The 27,020-nt window shown below is 36.6% G+C and overlaps 1 protein-coding gene and 1 long non-coding RNA gene across 2 annotated transcripts in view; one reads left to right on the top strand and one right to left on the bottom strand.

The window, feature by feature from the left end:
* Window positions 1-27,020, bottom strand: part of LOC107987053 (uncharacterized) — a 69,713-nt gene that overhangs the window by 20,724 nt on the left and 21,969 nt on the right. The gene's annotated exons all lie outside the window — the stretch shown is intronic.
* IFNA5 (interferon alpha 5) lies at window positions 11,265-12,252 on the top strand. Its single transcript, NM_002169.3, has one exon. It carries the CDS (start codon window positions 11,322-11,324, stop codon window positions 11,889-11,891), a length of 570 nt encoding a protein of 189 aa, NP_002160.1. The 5' UTR covers window positions 11,265-11,321; the 3' UTR covers window positions 11,892-12,252.

Genomic DNA, 27,020 nt, shown 5'->3' with positions numbered 1-27,020 from the left:
AGAGTGTTCCCATGGAGACATGGCCAACGTCAGTGTCCCCACCATGGATAACACTGATACCACAGCAGCCTGAGAGTATTGGAAGGGACAAGGGTTACTCCAGTGTCCGTTGCAAACTTCTGTTTCCTCCCTAGGACCCAGCAAGTCATCAGAGTGCAGGGAAAGTTAGGCATAGGGCCAATGCAATCCGAGGCATGTCATAATTCGGGTCATAATGCAGCCTGATTTAAAGATAAAACAAATGAAACAACAATTAAACAAAAAGGATACAGCAGTTATTTGAGTAGAATTAACAGTAACTGGGTCAGAGACATCCCAGCAGGACTGATATAAGGTAATGTTTGTTTTGAAAAATCACAGTTTCTAATGACAGCGAAGATCTTTGCCAAAATGTACTAGTTTATTTATTTAACTTAGTTATTTGGAAAGAGGACGTTGGTCGGTCAATTCTCCTTTAGCTTTTTTTCCAGTGGGTGCATTCTGCACTCAGTTGGCACAGTTAAAGTTAGAATTTGGACACTTTCTGAGGATGAGGGTCCAAAAAACAAGAAAAGTACATCCTTCATTTCTGACAAAATAATAATGCTTTTATCATTTTATCAATTAATGCTGATTTTAGTGATATATTTATTTCATTGCTACAGTTTTATTTTATGATTTGTAATTGTATGGGGTTAGAAATTAAGTAAAATCAACCACAGTAGGCAGCTGGGCTGAGTGTAGAGGTAAAGCCAAATTCTCCTTGGTAAGAAGCTCTTCAAAACCTTTCACTTCTGTGCAGGAAGTGCATAATATTCTCTCATCTTGGTCATATAAAAGGTCTTTTCAGCGCTCAAAATTCAACTATTGGATGGAAAGACAGAAAAGAGATTCTTCTCTGGACTCTATCAGTACACAAGATGAATGTCGGTCTGGGCTGGAGGTGAGAAACAGTGTTGTCATCATTTGGAATAAAAACAACAGGCTGGACAGAAGAAGGTCTCTTGTGGAATTAGTGAGGTCCTGAAGGAGATAAGACAGGCCTGATATGGTTGTACCATCAGTAGAATAAAAATTGCTGGGTGCTTTCTGTATATTCTTAAGCTCACAAAAAAGCTCAAGAGTTAAAAATAAATAAGATTCCAAGGGTCTACAACTGATAGATTAATAGTTATTTTACCATATTTTATTGCAGAAATCATTCATTAAACTTTAGACTTTGTTTTTCAGTTGGGAGGAAAAATCCACTCCCTTTTAACTTTTTAAACAATGTTCTACTTAGAATTTAGTCAGTAAGTTCCATTGACTTGTAACACATACCTGTTGCCTTTGTTCATATCTATTCTTCACTTGTCTAACAGACCCTTTCACACAAGCCAATTATCTCAAGTCCCCATAAGGTTTTCACGTTTCATTATTGGCATGTTCAGAATAGTTTATCCCTCCAGATTGTTATTCTTCTCCAAAGTGTTATATAATGAGTGTAATACAAATAGGTTTATTGAAAGAATCAAATTGATTTTTTAAAGTTTCAATTTTTTCATTTTTATATTTTTAATTGACAAATAATAATTGTATATATTCATGGACTATATAGTGATGCTTCAATGCTGATAATAGTGATCAGATCAGAGTAATTAGCATATCCATCATTTCAAACATTTATCATTTCTTTGTGTTGGGAACAGTCACTGTCCTCCTTCTAGCTAATAATATATAATATATTACTGCTACAGTGGTATAAAATACTAGACCTTAGCCTCTTACATAGCTGTAATTTTGTATCCTTTAACAAATCTCCCCCTGTCCATCCCATCCTCCTACCCCTCCCAGGCTACAGTATCCTCTGTTCTACTTTTACTTCTATTAGATCAACGTTTCTTTAGCTTCCAAGTAAGAGTGAAAACATGCAGTATTTAATTTTCTGTTCCTGGCTCATTTCTCTAAACATAATGTCCGCCAGTTCCATCCATGTTGCCACAAATGACAGGATTTTATTCCTTTTTATAGCTAAATAATATTCCATTGTGCAAATATACCACATTTTCTTTATCAATTTATTTGTTGTTGGGGAATAGATTCCATGTCTTGGCTATTGGAAATAATGTTGCAATAAACATAAGGGTGCAGATGCCTCTTAGATATAATGATTTCCTTTTCTTTGGATAAATGCCTAGTACCGGGATTGCTGCAACATACGGATGTTCTATTTGTAGTTTTTTAAAGAACCTCCACACTGTTCTCCATAGTGGCTGTACTAGTTAACATTCCAACCAATATTGTGTAATAGTTTCATTTTCTCCACATCCATGCCAGCATTTGTTATTTTTTGTTTTTTGTTTTGAAAATAGCCATTCTAACTGAGGTGGGATGATAATTCATTGTGATTTCAATTTGCATTTCCATGATGATAGTGATGTTGATCAGTTTTTCACATATTTGTTGGTCATTTCTATGTCTTCTTTTGAGAAATGTCTGTTCAGATCATTTGCCCATTGCATAATCAGATTATTATTATTATTATTTTGCTTTGAGATGTTTGAGTTCCTTGTATATTCTAGATATTAACCCCCTGTTGTATGACTGGTTTTGAAACATTTTCTCCATTCTGTAGGTTGTTACTCTATTGATTGTTTCTTTTGTTTTTTGATATAATCTGATTTGTTTATTTTTGCTTTCGTTGCCTGTACTATTGTGGTCTGACTTATAAAATCTTTTCACAGACTTCTCCTATGTTTTCTCCTAGTAATTTTAAAGTTTCAGGTATTAGATTTATGTCTCTCTTCCATTTTGAGTTTTTTTTTTTTGTATAGTGTGAGAGGAGGGGGTCTAATTTCATTCTTGTGCATATGGGTATTCAGTTTTCCCAGCACCATTTATTGAAGATACTATCCTTTCCTCAGTGAGTATTCTTGGCACTTTAATTAAAAATCAGTTGTTATTGATATGTGGATTAATTTTCCTGTTATCTATTCTGTTGCATTTGTCTATGTGTCTGTTTTTATGTCAGTACCATGGTGTGTTGATTACTACAGCTTTGTAGTATATTTTGAGGTCCAGTAGTGTGATATCGCCAGTGTAGTTCTTTTTGCTCAGGATTGCTTCAGCTATTCAGGGTCTTTCATGATTCCATACAAATTTTAGTATCTTTTTTCTATGAAGATTATTATTGGCATTTTGATAGGGATTGCATTAAATCTTTAGATTGCTTTGGGCAGTATGGACATTTTAACAATATTAATTATTTCAACCTATGAGCATGGAATGTTTTTCTATTTGTTTGTATCCTCTTCAATTTCTTTTATTTGTGTTTTCTAGCTTTCCTTGCAGAGGTCTTTTACCTCCTTGGTTAAATTTATTCCTAGGCATTTTATTAATTTTTGTGTAGCTATTGAAAATCTGGTAACTTCTTGATTTATTTTTTAGCTAGTTTGTTTTTTGTGTGTAGAAACACTATTGATTCTGTATGTTAATTTTGTGTCTTGAAATGTTACTGAAATTGTTTATCAGTTCTAAGAGTTTTTTAGTAAATTCTTTAGGTTTTTCTATATATAAGAAAATGTCGTCTGCAAACAGAGACAATTTGACTCCCTCCTTTCTAACCTGGATGCCCTGCACACAGGTCCTGTGACTCAAAAACCACCCCTTGAGCTGCCTCTGTCAAATTCATCCTTAGGCTGGCTGAGCAGCTTTCTGCCTATATTCTGGGCCTGAGTTACTATTTTTAAAGACCTTAGAATAGTGGATAGTCCATAATAAGCATTCAAAGAAACTCAATAATATATTTTTATGTTATGATTATTATTGCTACCCAGATTAAGAGCAGAATCTTTGGGGTCATCTAACACTCTCTTTTAAATTCTAGGTTTTCAGAAGCAATCTTTTCATTGCCTGAGTGGATTTATTAACTAAGTAGAGAACTCAGCCAAGGCTAATTATATACCTTATCCTACCAGAGAGGGTTGGTGTCATACTAACTAGGGTCTGATTGTCTGTCTCTTGAGAGGTGATTGGTGTCACTGTTCATTTTTCTCCTCGGAGCCAGTCACATGTGGACATACAATTAGATTAAAGGAATAAGTTCTAATGTTTGATAGCAGTTGTTAAAGTTAACAACAATGTATTATATATTTCCAAATAGCTAGAAGAGAGGATCTGAAGTGTTCACAACACAAAGAAATGATAAATGCTCAAGGCAATGGATTTCCTAAATATCCTGACTTGATCATTTACGACTTATGCATGTTTCAAAATAGCACATATATCCCATAAATATGTACAAATATTGTGTATCAATCAAAAATTAAAAATGTGTACTATAATACTATGCAAAAATTAAAAATGTGGATTAACTCACAGAAAAGTCAGATGGCTGGTCTTGCAAAGCTGAGGGCAGTTTATAGATTCAGCAGTCACTCTTCTCTGAGCCTCTGGCAGATGCAGGCATTTCCCTGCTTTTGTGTGCCTCCACATTGGCCTTCATTCATCCCCTCTGCCAGAGGCCCTAGCTCTCAGTTTTGCTGCATTGTGTGTGACTAACTTACACTTGGCAATGTGTCAGTAGAAAGGCACTTCTGTCCTTTCATTTTCATGACATTTGCACTTTTTTTTTTAAACCACAAATGACAATCAAGTTTTGCTTTCTAGGAAAGTTGAAATGAGAAAAAAAAAAATCTGAAATTATCGGGGGAAATTCAGCCCCCAATATTTCATGTGGGTCCTTTTCTATTTTCCCTAAGTGTTGGCTGGTCTGAGAAATAAAGGGAAAGAGTACAAAAGAGAGAAATTTTAAAGCTGGGTGTCCCGGGGAGACATCACATGTTGGCAGGTTCCATGATGCCCCAAAAGCCGCAAAACCAGCAAGTTTTCATTAGTGATTTTCAAAAGGGGAGGGAGTGTATGAATAGGGTATGGGTCACAGAGATCACATGCTTCACAAGGTGATAGAATATCACAAGGCAAATGGAGGCAGGGCAAGATCACAGGACCGGGGTGAAATTAAAATTGCTAATGAAGTTTTGGGCATGCATTGTCATTGATAACATTTTATCAGGAGACAGGGTTTGAGAGCAGACAACCGGTCTGACCAAAATTTATTAGGCAGGAATTTCCTCGTCCTAATAGGCCTAGGAGTGCTACGGGAGACTGGGGCTTATTGCATCCCTTATCTATAACCGTAAAAGACAGACATTCCCAAAGCGGCCATTTCAGAAGCCTCCCCCTGGGAATGCATTCTCTTTCTCAGGGATGTTCCTTGATGAGAAAAAGAATTCAGTGATATTTCTCCTATTTGCTTTTGAAAAAAGAGAAATATGGCTCTGTTCCACCCAGCCCACAGGCAGCCAGACTTTAAGGTTATCTCCCTTGTTCCCTGAACATTGCTGTTATCCTGTTCTTTTTTCAAGGTGCCCATATTTCTTATTGTTTAAACAATTTGTGCAGTTAACACAATCATCACAGGGTCCTGAGGCGACATTCATCCTCAGCTTACGAAGCTGACTGGATTAAGAGATTAAAGACAGGCATAGGAAATCACAAGAGTTTTTATTGGGGAAGTGATAAGCGTCTATGAAATCTTCACAATTCATGTTCAGAGATTGCAGTAAAGACCGGCATAAGAAATTATAAAAGTATTAATTTGGGGAACTAATAAATGTCCATGAAATCTTCACAATTTATGTTCTTCTGCCATGGCTTCAGCCAATCCCTCTGTTCGGGGTTCCTGACTTCCCGCAACAGAAATCATGGAAATCATAGAAAAAAAGTTGTGGCCCCTTTGCCTGTCTTTTACTTCCCTTAATTTTTGTTACTTCATCATGAATGAGAATGTAATGCATTAATGGCAAGACAAAGCTTGCCCAGAAATCACTAGTGCAAAAAAGTACAAAAAATTAAACTAAAAAAACACATACAGGTAAAAGAAAGAAGCCTATTTCTTCTTGACAGAATAGCCTGGCCCTAACTGCCCTACACTGTTAGAGCAAGGCAGAGACCCAGGAACAAAGAACCCCAAAGAAACACTGACTGGATGAACAATTGAAAGTCACTAGTTTCTGTCATATTAGTTGCTAACAAGAGACAACATCAACCTTGACTCCCCTGTGACCAGCTCAGAAAGGTCAAACCTAACAAGTGTTCAATAGTTTTGAGTATTGAAAAATGAAAGTGTGCGGGCGCGGTGGCTCACGCCTGTAATCCCAGCACTTTGGGAGGCTGAGGCGGGTGGATCACGAGGTCAGGAGATTGACGCTATCCTGGCTAACATGGTGAAACCCTGTCTCTACTAAAAATACAAAAAATTAGCCGGGCGTAGTGCAGGCTACTCGGGAGGCTGAGGGAGGAGAATGATGTGAAGCTGGAAGGCAGAGCTTGCAGTGAGCCGAGATCGTGCCACCGCACTCCAGCCTAGGTGACGGAGCGAGACTCCGTCTAAAAAAAAAAAAAAAGAAGAAAAATGAAAGAGTTGACTGATTGACTGATAAAAGCTCTAATTGTCAAAATAAAAGTTACTTGCTTGCTAAAGTTAAAATTATGGCAATTGAATACTTCCTTTACCTATTTGTATAAAAGGAAACTTGCTATCAACATCCGAGCACTGTGCACACATTTGATCCCTGAGGACACAGACCCTGGACAGGAGGAGATCACCATTGAGAAGCCAAATCCTTCACACAAACACTCTAAGGGCAAGGGCAAAGATCTTGGAGCATTAATTATTTTGGCTCAAAGAAAAAGACCTTTCCCTAGTAAAGGAGTTCTAACTTTGTGCCTCAGAGAATGAATCTGGAAGAGTTTGGGTTGAGGATATTGTCACTCTAGAGGAAAGGGTGTTACTGACTGTGATAACTGCCTTGTGAGTGAGGTGGTGCTGGGGGGAAAGAAAATTAACAAATTAACTTAGGATTAGAATCTCGCAGCCCAAATGACCAGAGAAGAATCGGGATTCTTGATGGGGGTATTATCACAGCCTGAGGAGCACTATAGACATTGAGTAAGAAAATGATGGGAAGAAAGGGCTGTTTCTACGTTAATCCTGACCTGCGGCTCCAGTGAGGCACAATCACATGGAATTGCATGAATGTATTTTTAAATAAATAGAAAAATCAGAGAGGCTCACTAACTAATAATCGTCAGCATCTGCTATGAATGAAACAATGGACAAAACCCAATTCTTTCTTCTAAAGGGTTTATTGTCAAAGCTGGTCGGATAAATTCTCAAATACAGATACCCAGATGGTAGAGAGAGCCTATGTAATGCATGCAGGGTATAATGCAACCTAGGATCAGGGCTGAAAACTTTTCACCTGACACAGAAAAGAAGAATATTTGTATGAAAAAAGTATATAAGTATTTACATTCCTACATACACTTCAGCCTTTATGACAATGACTGTTCTCATTTAATTGATAAATGTACATTTAGATTGGCACACCTGAAGTTTACTGTGCAAATTCTATTGCAAAAATTAAGGGTCTCAATTGATGTTGTGTTTTTAAGCCTAATATGCAATATGTAAATGAAAACAAAAAGTAGACATATAGAGAAATGTTCAGAAAATAAAAACTAGATGTCCCCTATTGAAAGCCATGCATAGAAATAATGTCTTCAGAGAACCTAGGTTCCAAAGTTCAACCAGACCCCAGCTCAGCCAGGCCTGCAGAACCCTCATTTCCCAATGGCCCTCCCAATGGCCATATTTCTTATTGATTTTCCATCCACAGATCCTGTCATTCTGCTTGTTGGTTACAAATCCCAGGCTGTCTGTGTCATATTCAGAGTTGAGCCCAGATTGATCTCTCTCCCCTATTGTGATAGTTTTGACATCTGTCGCAATAGTCCTAAATAAAGTCTTCATTACTGTAATACCAAGTGTTAGCATAATTTTTTCTCTACCAGTTTCTCAATGTAAGCCAGCACAATCATCACAGTAGCAAACTCTGCTGACCTACAACATAAAAGGCATCAGCCAGCTGGAAAGTCAGGTAACTCAGAACCTTTTGTCATTGCAGTCCTCCTCCTCTAATGCCCTGGACTCTCTACATTTCTCCAGAAGTGCTTCCCATTTGCACACCTCCAATCCTATTAGGCAGCCCTTCCAGAGGGTTTTTTTCCTGATCTCTGAGCCTTAGCTTATTGGTTTATTTCTGATTTAGATCATATTTATATCCCGATCATGGCTTAGTCTTACTTAGGTTTGCACTAAACTGGTAGAAATCTAAAGTATTATGGATATTTGAATAAATGAGTAGATATACATAGGGTTTCAAAGAGTTGCTTATGATGAACCAAGTATTTTACAAATACATTCAAGCTTATGGAAATACATTCTCAAGAAGAAAAAACTAGAATATAGTGTGTAAGTAAAATGGGGTCTAATTTAATTGTAATGTAACATGTTGGCAAAAGCAAATGGGACGTTTCAGTAAAAAAGAACAGCTGAAGAGAAAGACCCTGTCATTACTTAGGCAGGACTCTCCTGGGAAAACACTGACCAATGCAGAAATCAGTTCTTATGACCAGAAATATTCCCAAAGACCATGTAAGAGCTGAGGATTTAGAGTCCAATTTTGGGGTTTAAATAGTAGCCTCAAATTCAATACCTCACTGTTCTTCTGTTTTTTCTTTTGTAAATAGGAATAATAGTAGAACCTATCAGTCTTCTTTGGTCACTGATATCTCCAGTGAATAAATGGTGGGTAGGTATATGGTAGGGGTTCAGTTAATACAAAAAGAGGATATTCATTATTGGTAAAATGAGAATCAAATCTGTAAGTTCTAAGAACAATATCTGACTGAAAATAAACACCTTCATCAATTTACCTGTCTCCTTCCTTTTTTAAACATTATCTTCATTATTAAACTTTATTAAATTGGGGGAAGTGTCCTTTAAAATTGTTAACTCCCTTGATTCCTGTAAAAAACATAATAAGGGAAATATTGATCTCTTGAATGTATTTATACACTAAGGGAGAACTTGAGAATTAACACTTACTCATTATGCAAAGAGTACATGGTACTCTTTTAAAAATTGCCCTTTTTTTATGTACAAATTCTTGCGATTGGTGTGACTCCATGAAGGCTGGATTCAGCAAAGCTGAAAACACTGCGTGGACCAGGAATGATTACTCTTTTTTTTCAGCTCATACCCATTTGTTCCCTTTGATCTACATATCTTCTACGATTTTGCTTCTCCTCTTCCCCATTCCTTTATCTCCTTCTTTACTGGGATGAATGTAGGAAAGTTGCATTTTGTCATCCTTTTTTTCCCAGTGAGATATTGTCTCTCTAGAGGATATTGTCACTCTAGAGAAAAGGGTGTTACTGACTGTGATAACTGCCTTGTGAGTGAGATGGTGCTGGGGAAAATAAAACTAACAAATTAACTTAGGATTAGAATCTCCTAGCCCAAGTGACCAGAAAAGAATCAGGATTCTTTTATCACATTTAGATACACATTTGTTTTCTTTCTATCTCCATTCTGTAGGATTTTTAAAATCACATTTAGATATACATTTTTCTTTTTGTCTCCATTCTTAAGGATTCAAAAAGAGACAACCTTTACTTTCAATGAAAATGAAAATGAGAAAGAAAGATCTCTGGTATCCTGCATGCTATGTAAACAATTGTACAACCCATTCATGCTATCACATTTACATTACACTATGGACATTTAGGACAAAAATGGTTTTCTTCAGTTTGAGGAGAATCAACTAGAATTGGAACCTCTGTGGGTTCTTTGGAAATCTGACCTTTCATGACAAATAATATTTTTAAAATCAAATTGATGACATTTTTCTCCATTGCATATACTCATTAAGTATAATATTGCTTCCAAGAATGTAAAAGTTATTTCTTGGGGCCCTCTAAAGTTCAACTCTGTCTGACAAAACTTTATTCCTTAGTATTTTTTTAATTGAGTTCTTGTTGTTGTTGTTTGTTTGTTTGCTTGCTTTTTGAGGCGGAGTCTCGCTCTGTTGCCAGGCTGGAGTGCAGTGGGGTGGTCTCGGCTCACTGCAACCTCCGACTCCCTGGTTCAAGCAATTCTCCTGCCTCAGCCTCCCGAGTAGCTGGGATTACAGGCACGTGCCACCACGCCCAGCTAATTTTTGTATTTTTAGTAGAGACGGGCTTTCACCATGTTGTCCAGGAGGGTCTTGATCTCCTGACCTTGTAATCCACCCACCTCAGCCTCCCAAAGTGCTGGGATTACAGATGTGAGCCACCGCGCCTGGCCTAATTTGGTTTTCTTGTAACATCAGAAGCATTGACCTTGAGTTCATGGAAGATACACAAAAGGTATACAAGATCAGTGCTACAAGCATATGGCAAATGGGTGGCTGTTATTGGAGGACTTTCCAAGATTTATTAGATGTCAAAGTCATATCATGTGAGGTGGCCTCTGTATACATATGAGCTGTCATTTGCTGTCTTGTGTATGTTGCTTATATTTGATCCTGAGCATTTATGACTGTGTTTTGAGTTTTGAGGTTTCAATAAAAATACTTTATCTTTTACTATTTAATTCTACTAAAGTTGTTCAACACATCAATAATTATGTCAAGCACTGAAGAGAAAAAGGTTTTTGACAATATCTAGATCAATATCTAGAAGCTAGTGAATTTTTTAAATTTCCCTATGAAGCAAAATTGAAAGTACCCTAAAAATAAATGTTACAAATAATTTCAATTTTAATAGTCTTTAGCTATTTTGAATTTTTAAATATTTCATTATACTAGGCAATATTATATATTTTCATAATTTGTTAATTTACTTATTTAATCTGACACACTACAATTTATATAAGTAAATAAATCACATTGTTACTTAAACAAATTGAACTATGAAGTTAAATATCCATAAATTGTAAATTTAATTATTAACTTTTACCTTAGAATTTTCATTTGCTCATTCTTAATCCGGGACTGAATAAATTCTATTTTACATTCTATTACGCTGCTTTTAAAGCATTAAAGAAGTACAATATTCTCTCTCGATAATGGGTACTGTAATGTATATACATCAGCCAACACATAGTATATCTGTGTTATTAAAATTTAATGGGATTTTTAGTTAGAAAAAAAATTTCTAAAAAGCATATGTGGCAGAGGAAGATGAGGTAATAATGTAAAAATAAATAAACTGAGAAACACTCCTGTACATCTATGTAGAAAGAGCATAAAAGAAAGCAAAAAGAGAAGTAGAAAGTAACACAAGGCATTCAGAAAATGGAAACTCGTATGTGACCTTTTTAAGATCTGTGCACAAAACAAGGTCTTCAGAGAAGAGCCCAAGGTTCAGGGTCACTCAATCTCAACAGCCCAGAAGCATCTGCAACCTCCCCAATGGCCTTGCCCTTTGTTTTACTGATGGCCCTGGTGGTGCTCAACTGCAAGTCAATCTGTTCTCTGGGCTGTGATCTGCCTCAGACCCACAGCCTGAGTAACAGGAGGACTTTGATGATAATGGCACAAATGGGAAGAATCTCTCCTTTCTCCTGCCTGAAGGACAGACATGACTTTGGATTTCCTCAGGAGGAGTTTGATGGCAACCAGTTCCAGAAGGCTCAAGCCATCTCTGTCCTCCATGAGATGATCCAGCAGACCTTCAATCTCTTCAGCACAAAGGACTCATCTGCTACTTGGGATGAGACACTTCTAGACAAATTCTACACTGAACTTTACCAGCAGCTGAATGACCTGGAAGCCTGTATGATGCAGGAGGTTGGAGTGGAAGACACTCCTCTGATGAATGTGGACTCTATCCTGACTGTGAGAAAATACTTTCAAAGAATCACCCTCTATCTGACAGAGAAGAAATACAGCCCTTGTGCATGGGAGGTTGTCAGAGCAGAAATCATGAGATCCTTCTCTTTATCAGCAAACTTGCAAGAAAGATTAAGGAGGAAGGAATGAAAACTGGTTCAACATCGAAATGATTCTCATTGACTAGTACACCATTTCACACTTCTTGAGTTCTGCCGTTTCAAATATTAATTTCTGCTATATCCATGACTTGAGTTGAATCAAAATTTTCAAACGTTTCACACGTGTTAAGCAACACTTCTTTAGCTCCACAGGGACAAAATCTTTACAGATGATCATGCCAATCTATCTATTCTATCTATTTATCTATCTGTCTGTCTTCTATCTAATCTATTTAAATATTTATTTATTTATAAGATTTAAATTATTTTAAATTATGTTTGTTCAGGTAATATTACATCCACCTTTACTTTGTGGCTAATATAATAAAATATGTTCTTTATGTTTTGTCAACTGATTATTTTGCTTTGTTCATTAGATTTTTACTATTAATTGTTTGTTTATTCTTTAAAATGAAACTCCAAGCCTGATTGTATAACTTGATTAAAAACAGATGGTACAGTTCAGTTACCTATCATTATTTTATTCAAATTTTAAGTAAAGGAAGATTTTTCTTAAGTGAACATAATAAATACAATTCCTGTTCCCTTGTATCTTTGATTTTTGCCAGAAATTTAACAACAATAATTATGATTAATATGAGTTATGTTAAATGCTATAATGTGAGCTAGGAAAAAAAACAGTGAATTGCTCTCAGCAGAACGCAGATAGAGGCACGTCCAGAAAGAAAAATAAAAGCAGAGCTAGCCTCTCTAAACTGACTTTTAAACATGTAATTGCGAATGTGCATTGCTAGTCAGATACATGAGTTTGCAATATCCAAGGAATACAATGTCTGGAGGATCATAACTGGCAACCAAATGCCTAAAAATGGAGGCTGTCATGTGAGGAGCCAATGTAGAGAAGAAAATAAGACTTAAACTAGATTCTGAGGACCTTCCACCATTAAAGAGAGGGAAGAGGAGAGACACAAAGGAAACAGAGGTGGAATACCTTAAACATTAGAAGGACAAGAGGGAATGATGATAAAAATGTATTTAGAAAATAAATGTACTTAGAAGAAGAATCAATAGACTTATGGGAAATGTGGATTAAAACTGCCCAGAACATCAGAAAAATAGATGGCGGTGGAGATCTTGGTGAGAGCTGGATTGGCAGAATTAATCAGTACAAACCATACTGGAGTAGGTGGAAGAGTGAATCAGAGAAGAGAAATCAGTGATAACCATATGTAGGAAATAATTGTGACATGTTTGCCATGGAAATGGAGGGGGGAAATAAGGTTGGACTTGAAAAAGAATGTGTACTATTTTTTATCTACATAGTTTTTCTTTTTTGAAAATAGAGTTCGTGGATTCAATCTATTGGCAAGTCATGTTAATATGTTTAATATTTTATGTATTTAAATCATAATATTATTTGCATAATAATTTATTATTATTTTGATTAATACTATGTTACATGTCAGGAAAAAATGACAAACTTCCCTCATGAAATAAAATGGGAAACTGGATGAGAGAATCTCTTTATACTTTTGGCCAAAACCAGCTGAAAATACGTGAACCAAAGAGAAATTCAGAGTGCGGCAGAGAGTTGCATATAACTCAGTAGTAAGAGGAGATGTAATAATTATTACAGAAATCCTGAATACAAAGCTTATACCTCAGGTGTAAATAAAAATAAAGAATTTTACATTGAAATTACATTCTGCTTACATGTAAGCGTGATGTTCAGAAAACCACTTAATCTCTCTGAGCCTCAGTTTTCTTTTGAAAATATACTTTCTACATTAAAAAAGCAATACATATCACTGTTATTTTCTTTTAAACTTTTATTTTAGGTTCAGGGGTAGATGTGTAGGTTTGCTATATAGATAAATTACATGTCACAGACATTTGGAGTATGAATTATTTCATCACCTAGGTTATAAGCATAGTACACAATAGGTAGTTTATCAATTCTCATTCTCATCCCACCCTCCACCTTCAAGTAGGCCCCTGTGTCTGTTGCTCCTTTTTTTGTGTCCATATATACTTAATATTTGGCTCCCACTTATAAGTGAGAACATCCAGTATTTGATTTTCTGTTCCTGAATTAGTTTGCTTAGGATAATGGCCTCCACCTCCATCCAAGTTCCCATAGAAGACAAGATCTTGTTCTTTTTTGACTGCATAGTATTCCATGGTATATATGTACTGCATTTAGGATTTGGCTCTCAGCTTGACTGTTGTTGGTGTATGGGAATGCTAGTAATTTTTGTGCATTGATTTTGTATCCTGAAACTTTGCTGAAGTTGTGTATCAGCTCGAGGAGCTTTTGGGCAGAGAATATGGGGTTTTCTATATAGAGAATTATACCATCTGTGAACAAGGATAATTTGACTTCTCTTCCTATTTGGATGTCCTTTATTTCTTTCTCTTGCCTGATTACTCCAGCCAGGACTTCCAGTACTATGTTGAATAGTACTGGTGAGAGAGGACATTCTTGTCTTGTGCCAGTTTTCAAGGGGAAAGCTTCCAGGTTTGCCTATTCAATATGATGTTGATTGTGGGTTTGTCATAGATGGCTCTTATTATATTGAGGTATATTCTTTCAATACTTAGTTTATTGAGAATTTTTAATGTGAAGAGGTGTTGAATTTTATCAAAAGCCTTTTCTGCATCTATTGAGATAATAATATATTTTTCTCTTTAGTTCTGTTTATTTGATGAATCACATTTATTGATTTGTGTATTTTGAAACAACCTTGCATCCCAGAGATAAAGCCTATTTAATTGTGGTGGGTTAGCTTTTTGATGTGCTGTATTTCATTTGCTAGTATCTTTTTTAAGGATTTTTACATCAGTGTTCATCAAGGATATTGACCTGAAGTTTTCCTTTTCTTGTTGTATCTCTGGCCAGTTTTGGTGTCAGGATGATGGTGACCACATAGAATAAGTTAGGAAGGAGTGCTTCCTCCTCAATTTGTTGGAATCGTTTCAGTAGAAATATTACCAGGTCTTTTTTGTACATCTGGTAGAATGTATCTGTGAATTCATCTGGTCTTGCCTTTTTCTGATTTGTAGGCTTTGTATTACCAATTCAACTTTAGAACTCATTTTTGATCTCTTCAGAGATTCAGTCTCTTCCTGGTTCAGTCTTGGGAGGGTTTATGTTTCCAGAAATTTATCCATTTCTTTTAGGTTTTCTAGTTTGTGTGCATGGAAGTGTTTGTAATAGTCTCTGAGGGTTTGGTATATATATTTAAGATAATTAGGTCTTCTTGTTGAATTGAGCCCTTTATCATTATGTAATGCCCTTCCTTGTCTTTTTTGATCTTTGTTAATTTTAAGTGTGTTTTCTCTGAAATTAGAATAGCAACACCTGCATTTTTCTATTTTCCATTTGCTTCGTTGATTTTTTTTCCACCCCTTTACGTTGAGCCTGTGAGTGTCATTGCATGTAAGATGGGTCTTTTGAAGATAGCATATTGTTGGGTTTTGGTTCCTTATCTAACTTGACACTCTCTGCCTTTTAATTTTACGGCATTTAGCTTGTTTGCATTCAAGGCTAGTATTGGTAAGTGTGGATTTGATCCTGTCATAATGTTGTTATATAGTTATTATTCAGACTCCTTCATGTGATTTCTTTATAGTGTCATTGGTCTGTGTACTTCCTTTCCATATTTAGCACTCCCTAGAGAAACTCTCGTAAGTCAGATTTAGTGGTAAATTCCCTTAACATTTGCCTGTCTGTAAAGGATCTTATTTCTCCTTTGCTTATAAAGTGCAGTTTGGCCAGATATAAAATTCTTGGTTAAAAATTGTTTTCTTTAAGACAACTGAATATTGTTCCTAATCTCTTCTGGTTTATACAGTTTCTGCTGACAGGTCTGCTTTTAGCCTGACACAGTTCCCTTTGTAGGTGATGTGCCCCTTCTCTCTAGGTGCCTTTAGCATTTTTTCTTTCATTTAGACCTTGGAGAATCTGATGACTACGTGTGCTAGGGAAAGTCTTTTTCTGTAGCATTTCGCAGGGATTCTCTGCATTTCCTGAATTTGAATCTTGGCCTCACTAGTGAGGTTGGGAAAATTTTCATGGACAACATTTTGAAATATGAATCAAACTAGAACTCAGGATTAAGAAACTCACTCAAAACCGCTCAACTACATGGAAACTGAACAAGCTGCTCCTGAATGACTACTGGGTAAATAATGAAATGAAGGCAGAAATAACGATGTTCTTTGAAACCAACAAGAACAAAGACACAACATACCAGAATCTCTGGGACACATTCAAAGCAGTGTGTAGAGGGAAATTTATAGCACTAAATGCCCACAAGAGAAAGCAGGAAAGATCTAAAATTGACACCCTAACATCACAATTAAAAGAACTAGAAAAGCAAGAGCAAACACATTCAAAAGCTAGCAGAAGGCAAGAAATAACTAAGATCAGAGCAGAACTGAAGGAAATAGAGACACAAAAAATCCTTCAAAAAATTGATGAATCCAGGAGCTGGTTTTTTGAAAAGATCAACAAAATTGATAGACTGCTAGCAAGACTAATAAAGAAGAAAAGAGAGAAGAATCAAATAGACGCAAAAAAAATGATAATAAAGGGGATATCACCATCGATCCCACAGAAATATAAACTACCATCAGAGAATACTATAAACACCTCTATGCAAATAAACTAGAAAATCTACAAGAAATGGATAAATTCCTCGACATATACATCCTCCCAAGACTAAACCAGGAAGAAGTTGAATCTCTGAATAGACCAATAACAGGATCTGAAATTGAGGCAATAATCAATAGCTTAACAACCAAAAAAAGTCCAGGACCAGATGGATTCACAGCCGAATTCTACCAGAGGTACCAAGAGGAGCTGGTACCATTCCTTCTGAAACTATTCCAATCAATAGAAAAAGAGGGAATCCTCCCTAACTCATTTTATGAGGCCAGCATCATCCTGATACCAAAGTCTGGCAGAGACACAACCAAAAAAGAGAATTTTAGACCAATATCCTTGATGAACATCGATGCAAAAATCCTCAATAAAATACTGGCCAACGGAATCCAGCAGCACATCAAAAAGATTATCCACCATGATCAAGCGGGCTTCATCCCTGGGATGCAAGGCTGATTCAACACACGCAAATCAATAAATGTAATCCAGCATATAAACAGAACCAAAGACAAAAACCACATGATTATCTCAATAGATGCAGAAAAGGCCTTTGACCAAATTCAACAATGCTTCATGCTAAAAACTCTCAATAAATTAGGTATTGATGGGACGTATCTCAAAATAATAAGAGCTATCTATGACAAACCCACAGCCAATATCATACTGAATGGGCAAAAACTGGAAGCATTCCCTTTGAAAACTGGTGCAAGACAGGGCTGCCCTCTCTCACTACTCCTATTCAACATAGTGTTGGAAGTTCTGGCCAGGGCAATCAGGCAGGAGAAGGAAATAAAGGGTATTCAATTAGGAAAAGAGGAAGTCAAATTGTCCCTGTTTGCAGATGACATGATTGTATATCTAGAAAACCCCATTGTCTCAGCCAAAAATCTCCTTAAGCTGATAAGCAACTTCAGCAAAGTCTCAGGATACAAACTCAATGTACAAAAATCACAAGCATTCTTATACACCAATAACAGACAAACAGAGAGCCAAGTCATGAGTGAACTGCCATTCACAATTGCTTCAAAGAGAATAAAATACCTAGGAATCCAACTTACAAGGGATATGAAGGACCTCTTCAAGGAGAACTACAAACCACTGCTCAATGAAATAAAAGAGGATACAAACAAATGGAAGAACATTCCATGCTCATGGTTAAGAAGAATCAATATCGTGAAAATGGCCATACTGCCCAAGGTAATTTATAGATTCAATGCCATCCCCATCAAGCTACCAATGACTTTCTTCACAGAATTGGAAAAAACTACTTTAAAGTTCATATGGAACCAAAAAAGAGCCCGCACCGCCAAGTCAATCCTAAGCCAAAAGAACAAAGCTGGAGGCATCACGCTACCTGACTTCAAACTATACTACAAGCCTACAGTAACCAAAACAGCATGGTACTGGTACCAAAACAGAGACATAGACCAATGGAACAGAACAGAGCCCTCAGAAATAATGCCGCATATCTACAACTATCTGATCTTTGACAAACCTGAGAAAAACAAGCAATGGGGAAAGGATTCCCTATTTCATAAATGGTGCTGGGAAAACTGGCTAGCCATATGTAGAAAGCTGAAACTGGATCCCTTCCTTATACCTTATACAAAAATTAATTCAAGATGGATTAAAGACTTAAATGTTAGTCCTAAAACCATAAAAACCCTAGAAGAAAACCTAGGCAATACCATTCAGGACATAGGCATGGGCAAGGACTTCATGTCTAAAACACCAAAAGCAATGGCAACAAAAGCCAAAATTGACAAATGGGATCTAATTAAACTAAAGAGCTTCTGCACAGCAAAAGAAACTACCATCAGAGTGAACAGGCAACCTACAGAATGGGAGAAAATTTTCGCAACCTACTCATTTGACAAAGGGCTAATATCCAGAATCTACAATGAACTCAAACAAATTTACAAGAGAAAATCAAACAACCCCATCAAAAAGTGGGCGAAGGATATGAACAGACACTTCTCAAAAGAAGACATTTATGCAGCCAAAAAACACGTGAAAAAATGCTCATCATCACTGGCCATCAGAGAAATGCAAATCAAAACCACAATGAGATACCATCTCACACTTGTTAGAATGGCGATCATTAAAAAGTCAGGAATAAACAGGTGCTGGAGAGGATGTGGAGAAATAGGAACACTTTTACACTGTTGGTGGGACTGTAAACTAGTTCAACCATTGTGGAAGAAACTGTGGCTATTCCTCAGGGATCTAGAACTAGAAATGCTATTTGACCTGGCCATCCCATTACTGGGTGTATACCCAAAGGTTTATAAATCATGCTGCTATAAAGACACATGCACATGTATGTTTATAGCGGCACTATTCACAATAGCAAAGACTGGGAACCAACCTAAATGTCCAACAACGATAGACTGGATTAAGAAAATGTGGCACATATACACCATGGAATACTATGCAGCCATAAAAAATGATGAGTTCATGTCCTTTGTAGGGACATGGATGAAACTGGAAACCATCATTCTCAGCAAACTATAGCAAGGACAAAAAACCAAACACCGCATGTTCTCACTCATAGGTGGGAATTGAACAATGAGAACACATGGACACAAGAAGGGGAACATTACACACTGGGGACTGTTGTGGGGTGGGGGAAGGGGGGAGGGATAGCATTAGGAGATATACCTAATGCTAAATGACGAGTTAATGGGTGCAGCACACAAGCATGGCACATGTATACATATGTAACAAACCTGCACGTTGTGCACATGTACCCTAAAACTTAAAGTATAATAATAATAAAATAAAAAATATATAAATATAATAAAATAAAATATCATTATGCTTTACAGAGATAGTTCAGTTGACGGCATTAATCAGCAACAAAATACAACTTTTTAAGGATTACCAGCAATTTTGTGAAAATAATTAAGAATAATAGATCATAGTAAAAATACATCCTTTAGAAAAAAAAAAGAAATATGTTCTCCAAGTTGCTTGGTTTCTCTCTCTGTCTCTCAGGCATGCCAATAAGTCATAGATTGGGTCTCTTTACATAATCTTATATTCCTTGGAAGTTTTGTTTATTCTTATTGTTTTTTCTTTATTTGTCTCTGACTGAGTTATTTGGAAGAGCCAGTTTTCAAGCTCTGAGAGTCTTTCCTCAGCTTGGTCAATTCTGCTGTTAATACTTGCAATTGCATTATGAAATTCCTGTACAGTATTTTTCAGCTCTATCAATCAGTTTGATTCTTTCTTATAGTGACCATTTCATCTATTAGCTCCTGTATCGTTTTATTGTAATCCTTAGACTCCTTGGATTGGATTGGGTTTCAACTTTCCCCTATATGTCGATGATCTTCATTCCTATCCATATTCTGAATTCTATTTCTGTCAATTCAGCCATCTTAGCCTGGTTAGGAACCATTGCTGTAGAACTAGTGTGGATGTTTGTAGGTAAGAAGTCACTCTGGTTTTCTGAGTTGCCAGAGTTCTTGAACTGGTTCTTTCTCATCTTTGTGGGCTGATGGTCCTTCAATCTTTGAAGTTGCTAACCTTTGGATTGCTTTTATTTCTTTTATCCTATGTAACATTCTTTGGGGTTTAGTTTTGCTATAATGTGGGTTCAGTCAATTGGCTTAATCTATGGGGATTTAAGTGGGCCAAGGCTCAGCTTAGGAGCCCTGAACTGCATGATCCTACTGTGGGTGTCTACTATCAGGCCTGAAGCTTCATTCTGGGGCCCCTGGAGATTCGCAACCTGCCATGCTGAAGGGGCCTAATTTGCTCCTGAACCACTGGTCAGAACACTCTGATAGGTGGTGCCAGCCACAGTGATTCATAGAGTGGTGGCAGTGGGATCCTTCCTCATTTGCATGTGTCAGCAGCTTGGGAAGGCAAATGCTCATTGACTGCAGTGGGGCACTGGTGAGTGCAGGGGTGTTGGACTCCATGTAGGCATTCACAGTGGCAGTGGTGGCAGCACAGTGCAGAGGCTGCAGGAGCTCAGTTTTTTTATAAATATAATGGGTTCAAATATTTATATAGTTGTTATTCCTAAATGAACACATATAGTTTAAAGCACTGTGTGTGGTATCCTTCACAGAGTAAGGATTTAAAATATGGCAGGTATTTTTCTATTTTCCTTCATCCAGCTAGAGAAGAGAATATTATTCGTCTTTCTATAACATTCTTAGGAACTACGTCCTCCCTTTCAGAAACCCATCTCCAAAGGAGGCAAACTAAAAACCTAGAATTCTGTCAAAAAATCTGGAGGGGTTGAAAAATTATCCCTCCTTATTTCAAAGAAGTTTGCTATTTGTATTCAGTCAGGAAATGGTGGCTTGTATAAATACCTGAGAGAGAAGAAGCACCATCTAGATTGAAGTGCAGAAGATATATGATGTTTATTAGCTGATTCTGGCACCTGGCACATTCCCTTTCTGGCTCTCAGAATTCCAGAATATACTTCCATATAAAGTTAGTCTCCTAAACTGAAGTGAAATATACATAGCAACCTTTGCTGGTTCTGAGACCTGGCACACTTCCCCCTTTCCTCCCTGTTTTTCTGGATCCCATTTTTAACTCCCATATCACAATAATTTCCTTCCTCTTCTTCTAGAAATCCGCACTGTTCTCTTCTCTTCACTCTTCATTAACCTGCATTGCCTCTTCATACAGCTGTTCTCAGTTCTCTTGTGGGTTTTGTCCACCAATTTCCCCTTAAGAGTACAAAACCACAAATTAAAGCAGACGTTGAATGAAAGTTCTAGGTTTTTCAGAAACTCTTATATGAAAGGCTGTTTTTCTTTTCTTATAAATATTTCTGGATAAGAGGGAATGTCCCTGTTATAATGATGTAACATTAGCTTAGCAAAAAGAAAATAAAAGGCTGTTCCATTTTACTCTGAGGCTATTAAAACATTTTTAGGTGAAGAGAGCCACTGATGACGAAAATGCACCAAGACCGCAACCAAGTCTGTGGAGACCAGGCTTTTCTGTTTATGCAGAAGTCTGTCTTCTGGCAGGAGATTTATCTGCAGAGCAATGCGCATTGCAAGATCACAATTCCTAATACAGCAAAGACTTTTACAAAATTTATTAATTTAACTTAGTTAATTCAGAAGAAGAAGACAATGGCAGTTTAGTTCCGTTTCTTCTCTTTCCAGTTGGTGTACTCTGCACTGAGTAGGCTCATTTAGAATTTGAACACTTCCTGAGGATTAGGATCCATGAAACAAGAACATTAAACCTAGATAAATAACAAATTTGAATCATTAGTCATTAATGTGAGTATCTAAAGGTCTGTCATATAACAGCTTGTCACAGTTAATCATGAAGCTGGTGATTATGAAACCTTTAAAGATCAAAGACACATTCAAATAAAACCTCATATAAATGGAAATTCCAGCTAAGCCTGTTCAAAGGGTTATAATGAGCTCAAATTACTGTGATTCCATGTGAAGCAAGCTACATGTTGCACTGATGATGCTAGGACACCACACCAACTTTTTAGATAGCCACCAAGACACCTGGACCGGGAGTCCTGCCAGAGCATTAGGGTGGTTTCACACACTGACTCAATGTGCAGTCTGGGACCTGTGGAAAAGGCTCCATGTGACTCTGTGTCTGTGTGAGTCATACATATTTGTGCACATAGGCAGGCAGGTCAACATCTTGGCAATGACATTGTATTCTTCCCTTAAATCTATAACTTCAATCTAGTCATGAGAAAATACCATACAAATTCAAATCAGTGGACATTCTACAAAATAATTGACCAATTTTAATTAAAAGTCTCAAGATCATGAAAGACTAGGAAAGACTGGGCACGTGTTACAGATTAAAGGAGACTAAAGAGATAAGACAACTAAGTGCAATGTGGGATCCTGGATTGATTCTTGAAACAGAAAAATAATATTAGTAAAAGATTGTTGAAATCTGAAGCTTAGTTAGTAATACTGTACCACTATAAATTTCTCAGTTTTGATAACTGTGCCACAATTATGTATGTTGTGTATATTACTGGGATGAACAAAATATTTTTCAAATGCATTCAGACCTATGAAGTAAATACTTAGGAAAACAAAAAGTAGGATATAACAAGTGTAAGTAAAATAGGACCCAATTTATTCATGATGTAACATGACTGGCATAAGCAAATGAGACTTTACAGTGAAGAAAAAGAATAATGGCTGAAGAGAAAGAGCCTGTCATTACTTAGGCAAGACTCTACTGGAAAAGCACTGATCAGTCTAGAAATCACATCTGGTTTTTATGGCCAAAATATTCCCAGGGAGCATGTAAGACCTGACGATTCAGTCAGATTTTCTGGATTCAGACAGTGGCTCCACAATTCAATAGCTCCCTGCACTTCTGTCTTTTTTTTCTATAAATGGATATAATAATAGAAACTTCACTGTCTGCTTTGGTCACTGTATGACTCAGGTGTTTTCCATTACTCAGGTGTTTTCCAGTGAGACAAAATCAGTGGAATTACATTTTATCATTTATTGTGATCCCTCAAATCTTTTTAAGTTAAAAAGCTTTTCAGACTTCGTAACTGCACGAGCTAATCCTTCAAATACATCATTAGAGGGATTAGCTCATGCAGTTATGAAGTCTGAAAAGCCCCTCCCATGCCACATGCCATCTGTAAGCTGGAGACCCTGGGATGCTGGTAGTGTGGCTCACTCAAAGTCTGAAGCTCCCCACAGAACCAGAGAAGCTGATAATGTAACTCTCAGTCCCAGACCAAAGTCCTGAGAACCTGGTGGCTTCTGGTTTAAGCCCTAGAGTACACAGGTAGGGGAGCTTGGAGTTGTTGTCCAAGGACAGGGGAGAAAGAGTTCATCCCAGTTCCAGCAGATAGACCCACAGATAGAGTTTTTGTTTTCTTTGGACTGTAGAGCAGATTGCATGGTGCCTGCTTACATGGAGGTCGGATCTTACCCACCTAGAGCACTGATAATCTCCCCTGGAAACACCTTGGGATACACCCCAAAATAATGCTTGACCAGGTTGCTAGGTATTCCTAATGCAGTCATGTTGACACCTAAAATTAACCATCAGACACAATGATATCTACAGTGATTAAATGGAACTGAGCACTGGTAAGTTTTCAATAAATATGAAAAATGTGGGTGTTTGAAATGGGGTAAAATGAGGACTGATTTGTAAGTGTTACAACAATGCATGGCTTACAATAAACACCTTCTAGAATTTAGCGATTTTATTCTTCTTATTGACACTCTCCTCATTATTTAACTATTGAGTTGAGGGAAGCATCCTTTGAAATTATTCATTTCCTTGCTTCTTGTGACAGTGATGACAAGAAAATGATTACTGTTCTGAGTTTATTAATCCACTAAGAAAGAACTTAGTGCAATTAACACCCGTTATCCAGAGAGAATACTGTACTCTCAAAAATTTACCATTTGTGTGTAAACTCTGTTGACTTGGTTGATATGTCCTCAACTATGTGAAGGCTGGATTTCCCAAATCTGAAGGCCAGCCCCTAGACCAGGAATGATGACTTTTCCTTGGGCATATGCCCATCTACTGCTTTTGACCTACATCCTTGTCCAATTTCAATTCCTCTCTACCTCATCTCATAATCACCTCTTGGTTAGGCAGAATTTAGCCAAGTTATATTTGTCATTTTTTTCCCAGTGGAATAATGTTGTTTTGTTACATATTTTTAAAATTAAAATAAAATACAGTTAACATAATATTTACCATATTAACCATTTTTAGGTATACAGTTCAATAGTGTTAAATGTATTCCCGCCATTGTGGAACTAATCTCCATACTTTTCCAACCTGCAAAACTGAAATTCTATGCTCTTTTAACAGCACCTCCACATTCCTTCTGGCTCCCTCCACACCTCAGCACCTGGCAACCACTATTCTACTTTCTGTTTCTATTAATTTGATTTCTCTAGATACCTCATACAAGTGGAATAATATAATATTTGTTATTTTGTGACTGGTTTATTCACTTAGCATAATGTCCTCAAAGTTCATTCATGTTGTAGTATGTGTCAGAATACAGGTGAATAATATTTTATTATACATATATATCATATTTTGCTGAATAATATAATGCAGTATAATATTACATTGTATAAGGTTGAATAATATTCTGTACTATGTTTAATAGAATGCATATAAGGCTGAATAATATTCCATTATATGCGTATACCACATTTTATTTATCTATTCATCCATCCATTGACGAGCACTTGGGTTTCTTCCACCTTTGGCTATACTGATGAAAGCTTTTACAAACATTATGTACAAATATATCTTCAAACGCTTATTTAAAAAATTCTTAGGACATATACTCAGAAGTGGAATTGCTGGATTATATGGTAATTCTATTTTTAATTTTTTGAGGAACATTGTGCTGTTTCTCATTGCAACCAGGCTGCACGATTTCACATTCCCATCAACAGGGCACAAGGGTTTCAGTTTCTTCATATCATTGCCAACTCTTGTAATTTATTTCTATCTATACCTATACAATATCAACATCTATATCATCTATTTATATAGTAACCCCCTGATGGATGTGAAGTGCTATCTCATTGTGATTTTGATTTGTATTCCCTAACAGTTAGTGAGGTTGAGCATCTTTCCATATGTACCTTAGTCTGTTAGAGCTGCTATAACAAGTACCAACAACCTGGTAATTTACAAATAAGAGAAATTTATTTCTCACAGTTCTGGAAGCTGGAAAGTCCAACATCAAGGCCCCTGCAGATTCTGAGTCCACTAAGGGCCCATTTCTTGGCTCAAATGATGATGTCTTCTCATGGTATCCTCACATGCTGGAAGGAAATTTGGCTCTCTGGGGTCCCTTTTATAAGGGGGCTGATCCCATTAATGAGGGATCTGTCCTCATGGTTTAATCTCCTGCCAAAATGCCCACCTTCTAATACCATCACCTCAGTGTTAGGATTTCAGCATAAGAATTTAGGAGGAACATTCAGACCATAGAAATATACTAGTTGAACATTTGTATGTCTTCTTTAAATAAATGTCTATTCAAATCTTTTCCCTTTTAAAATTAAGTTAAATGCTTTTTTTTTATTATACTTTAAGTTTTAGGGTACATGTGCACAACGTGCAGGTTAGTTACATATGTATACATGTGCCATGTTGGTGTGCTGAACCCATTAACTCATCACGTTGTTGATTGTAGAAGTTCCTTATAGATTCTGGCCATTACTCCTTATTAGATATATTATTTGCAAATACTTTCTTCCATTTTTAAGATTGCTCTTTTAACTCTTTTGATTGTATCTTTGAGACACAGAAGCTTTTAATTTTGATGTAGTTTCCTTTATCTATTTTTACATTAGTTGCCTATGCTTTTGGTATCATATCCAATAATTCCATTGTTAAATCCATTGTTATAAAGCTGTTCTTGTAGGTTTCTTCTAGGAGTTTCATGTTTTCAGGTATTATGTTTAGATGTTTAATTCAATTTTAATTACTTTTTGTATGTAATGTAGGAGTTCAACTTAATTCCTTTCTATGTCCATAACCAGTTTTTCCAACACTGTTTGTTAAAAAGACTATTTTTTCCCATGGTGTACCTGTCTTAGTGTGTTTTCTGTATGGGGTAGGAGAGAGGGCAAAGGTGAGAGATTTGTTAATGAATGCCTTTTATTTCTTTCTTTTGAATCATCCAAAAAATGGATAATAAAATTTATTTGTTTTATTAAAAACTGATTCTTTCTGATATGTACCCTGATATACTCATGCTGGTTCTATACTAGTGTCACCTAAATATCATCAAATGATTGAAGCTTAGGTTTCTCAGTTGTAGAAAAACGATGTCCCAACTCCTTACATTTCACACACACATTCTGTGAATTTGGTCTCTCCTTGACAAGGCCAAAAAAATGAAGGATTAATGATATGGGGAACAAAGGGCTACTAACCTCAAAAAGGTAGCATGGTATGTTTTCTGATTGCTGTGAGCTGTGTGAACTAGGGAAATGCTTATCTCCTTCATCTAGTGAATCAACCACAGTAGGCAAGCTGGGCTGAGTCTGGCATTAAAGCCAGACTTTCCTTGGTAAGCAGCTCTTTAAAACCCTTCACTTCTGTGCAAGAACTGCATAATATTCTTCCATTTTAGTCATCAAAGGTCTCTTCAGCACTCAAAACTCGACTATTGGATGGAAAGATACAGAAGAGGATTCTTTACTGGACTCTATCAGTACACACGATTAATTCCAGTCTGAGCTGGAGGTAAGAAACAGTGCTGTCATCTTTGGGAATGAGATCAGCATGCTGGCCTGAAGAAGGTCTCCTGATAAATTAGTGAAGTCCTAAAGGAGATAAGTCAGACCTTACATGGTGGTACTATCAGTAGACCAAAAATTGTTAGGTGCTTTTTGTTTATTCTTAAACTCACAAAATAGCTCAAGGGTTAAAAATAAATAGGCTTCCAAGGGTCTACAAGTGATAGATTAATATTTATTTTAACATATTTCTCTGCAT

Source organism: Homo sapiens, chromosome 9 (assembly GCF_000001405.40).
Source record: "Homo sapiens chromosome 9, GRCh38.p14 Primary Assembly".
Classification (NCBI taxonomy): Eukaryota; Metazoa; Chordata; class Mammalia; order Primates; family Hominidae; genus Homo; species Homo sapiens.
Note: the sequence above shows the minus strand (reverse complement) of the source record. Positions and strands in the feature narration are given on the sequence as shown.

Bases quoted from the DNA above. Each gene is read 5' to 3' on its own strand.
- IFNA5 (NM_002169.3), top strand. From the start codon at position 11,322: ATGGCCTTGCCCTTTGTTTTACTGATGGCCCTGGTGGTGCTCAACTGC.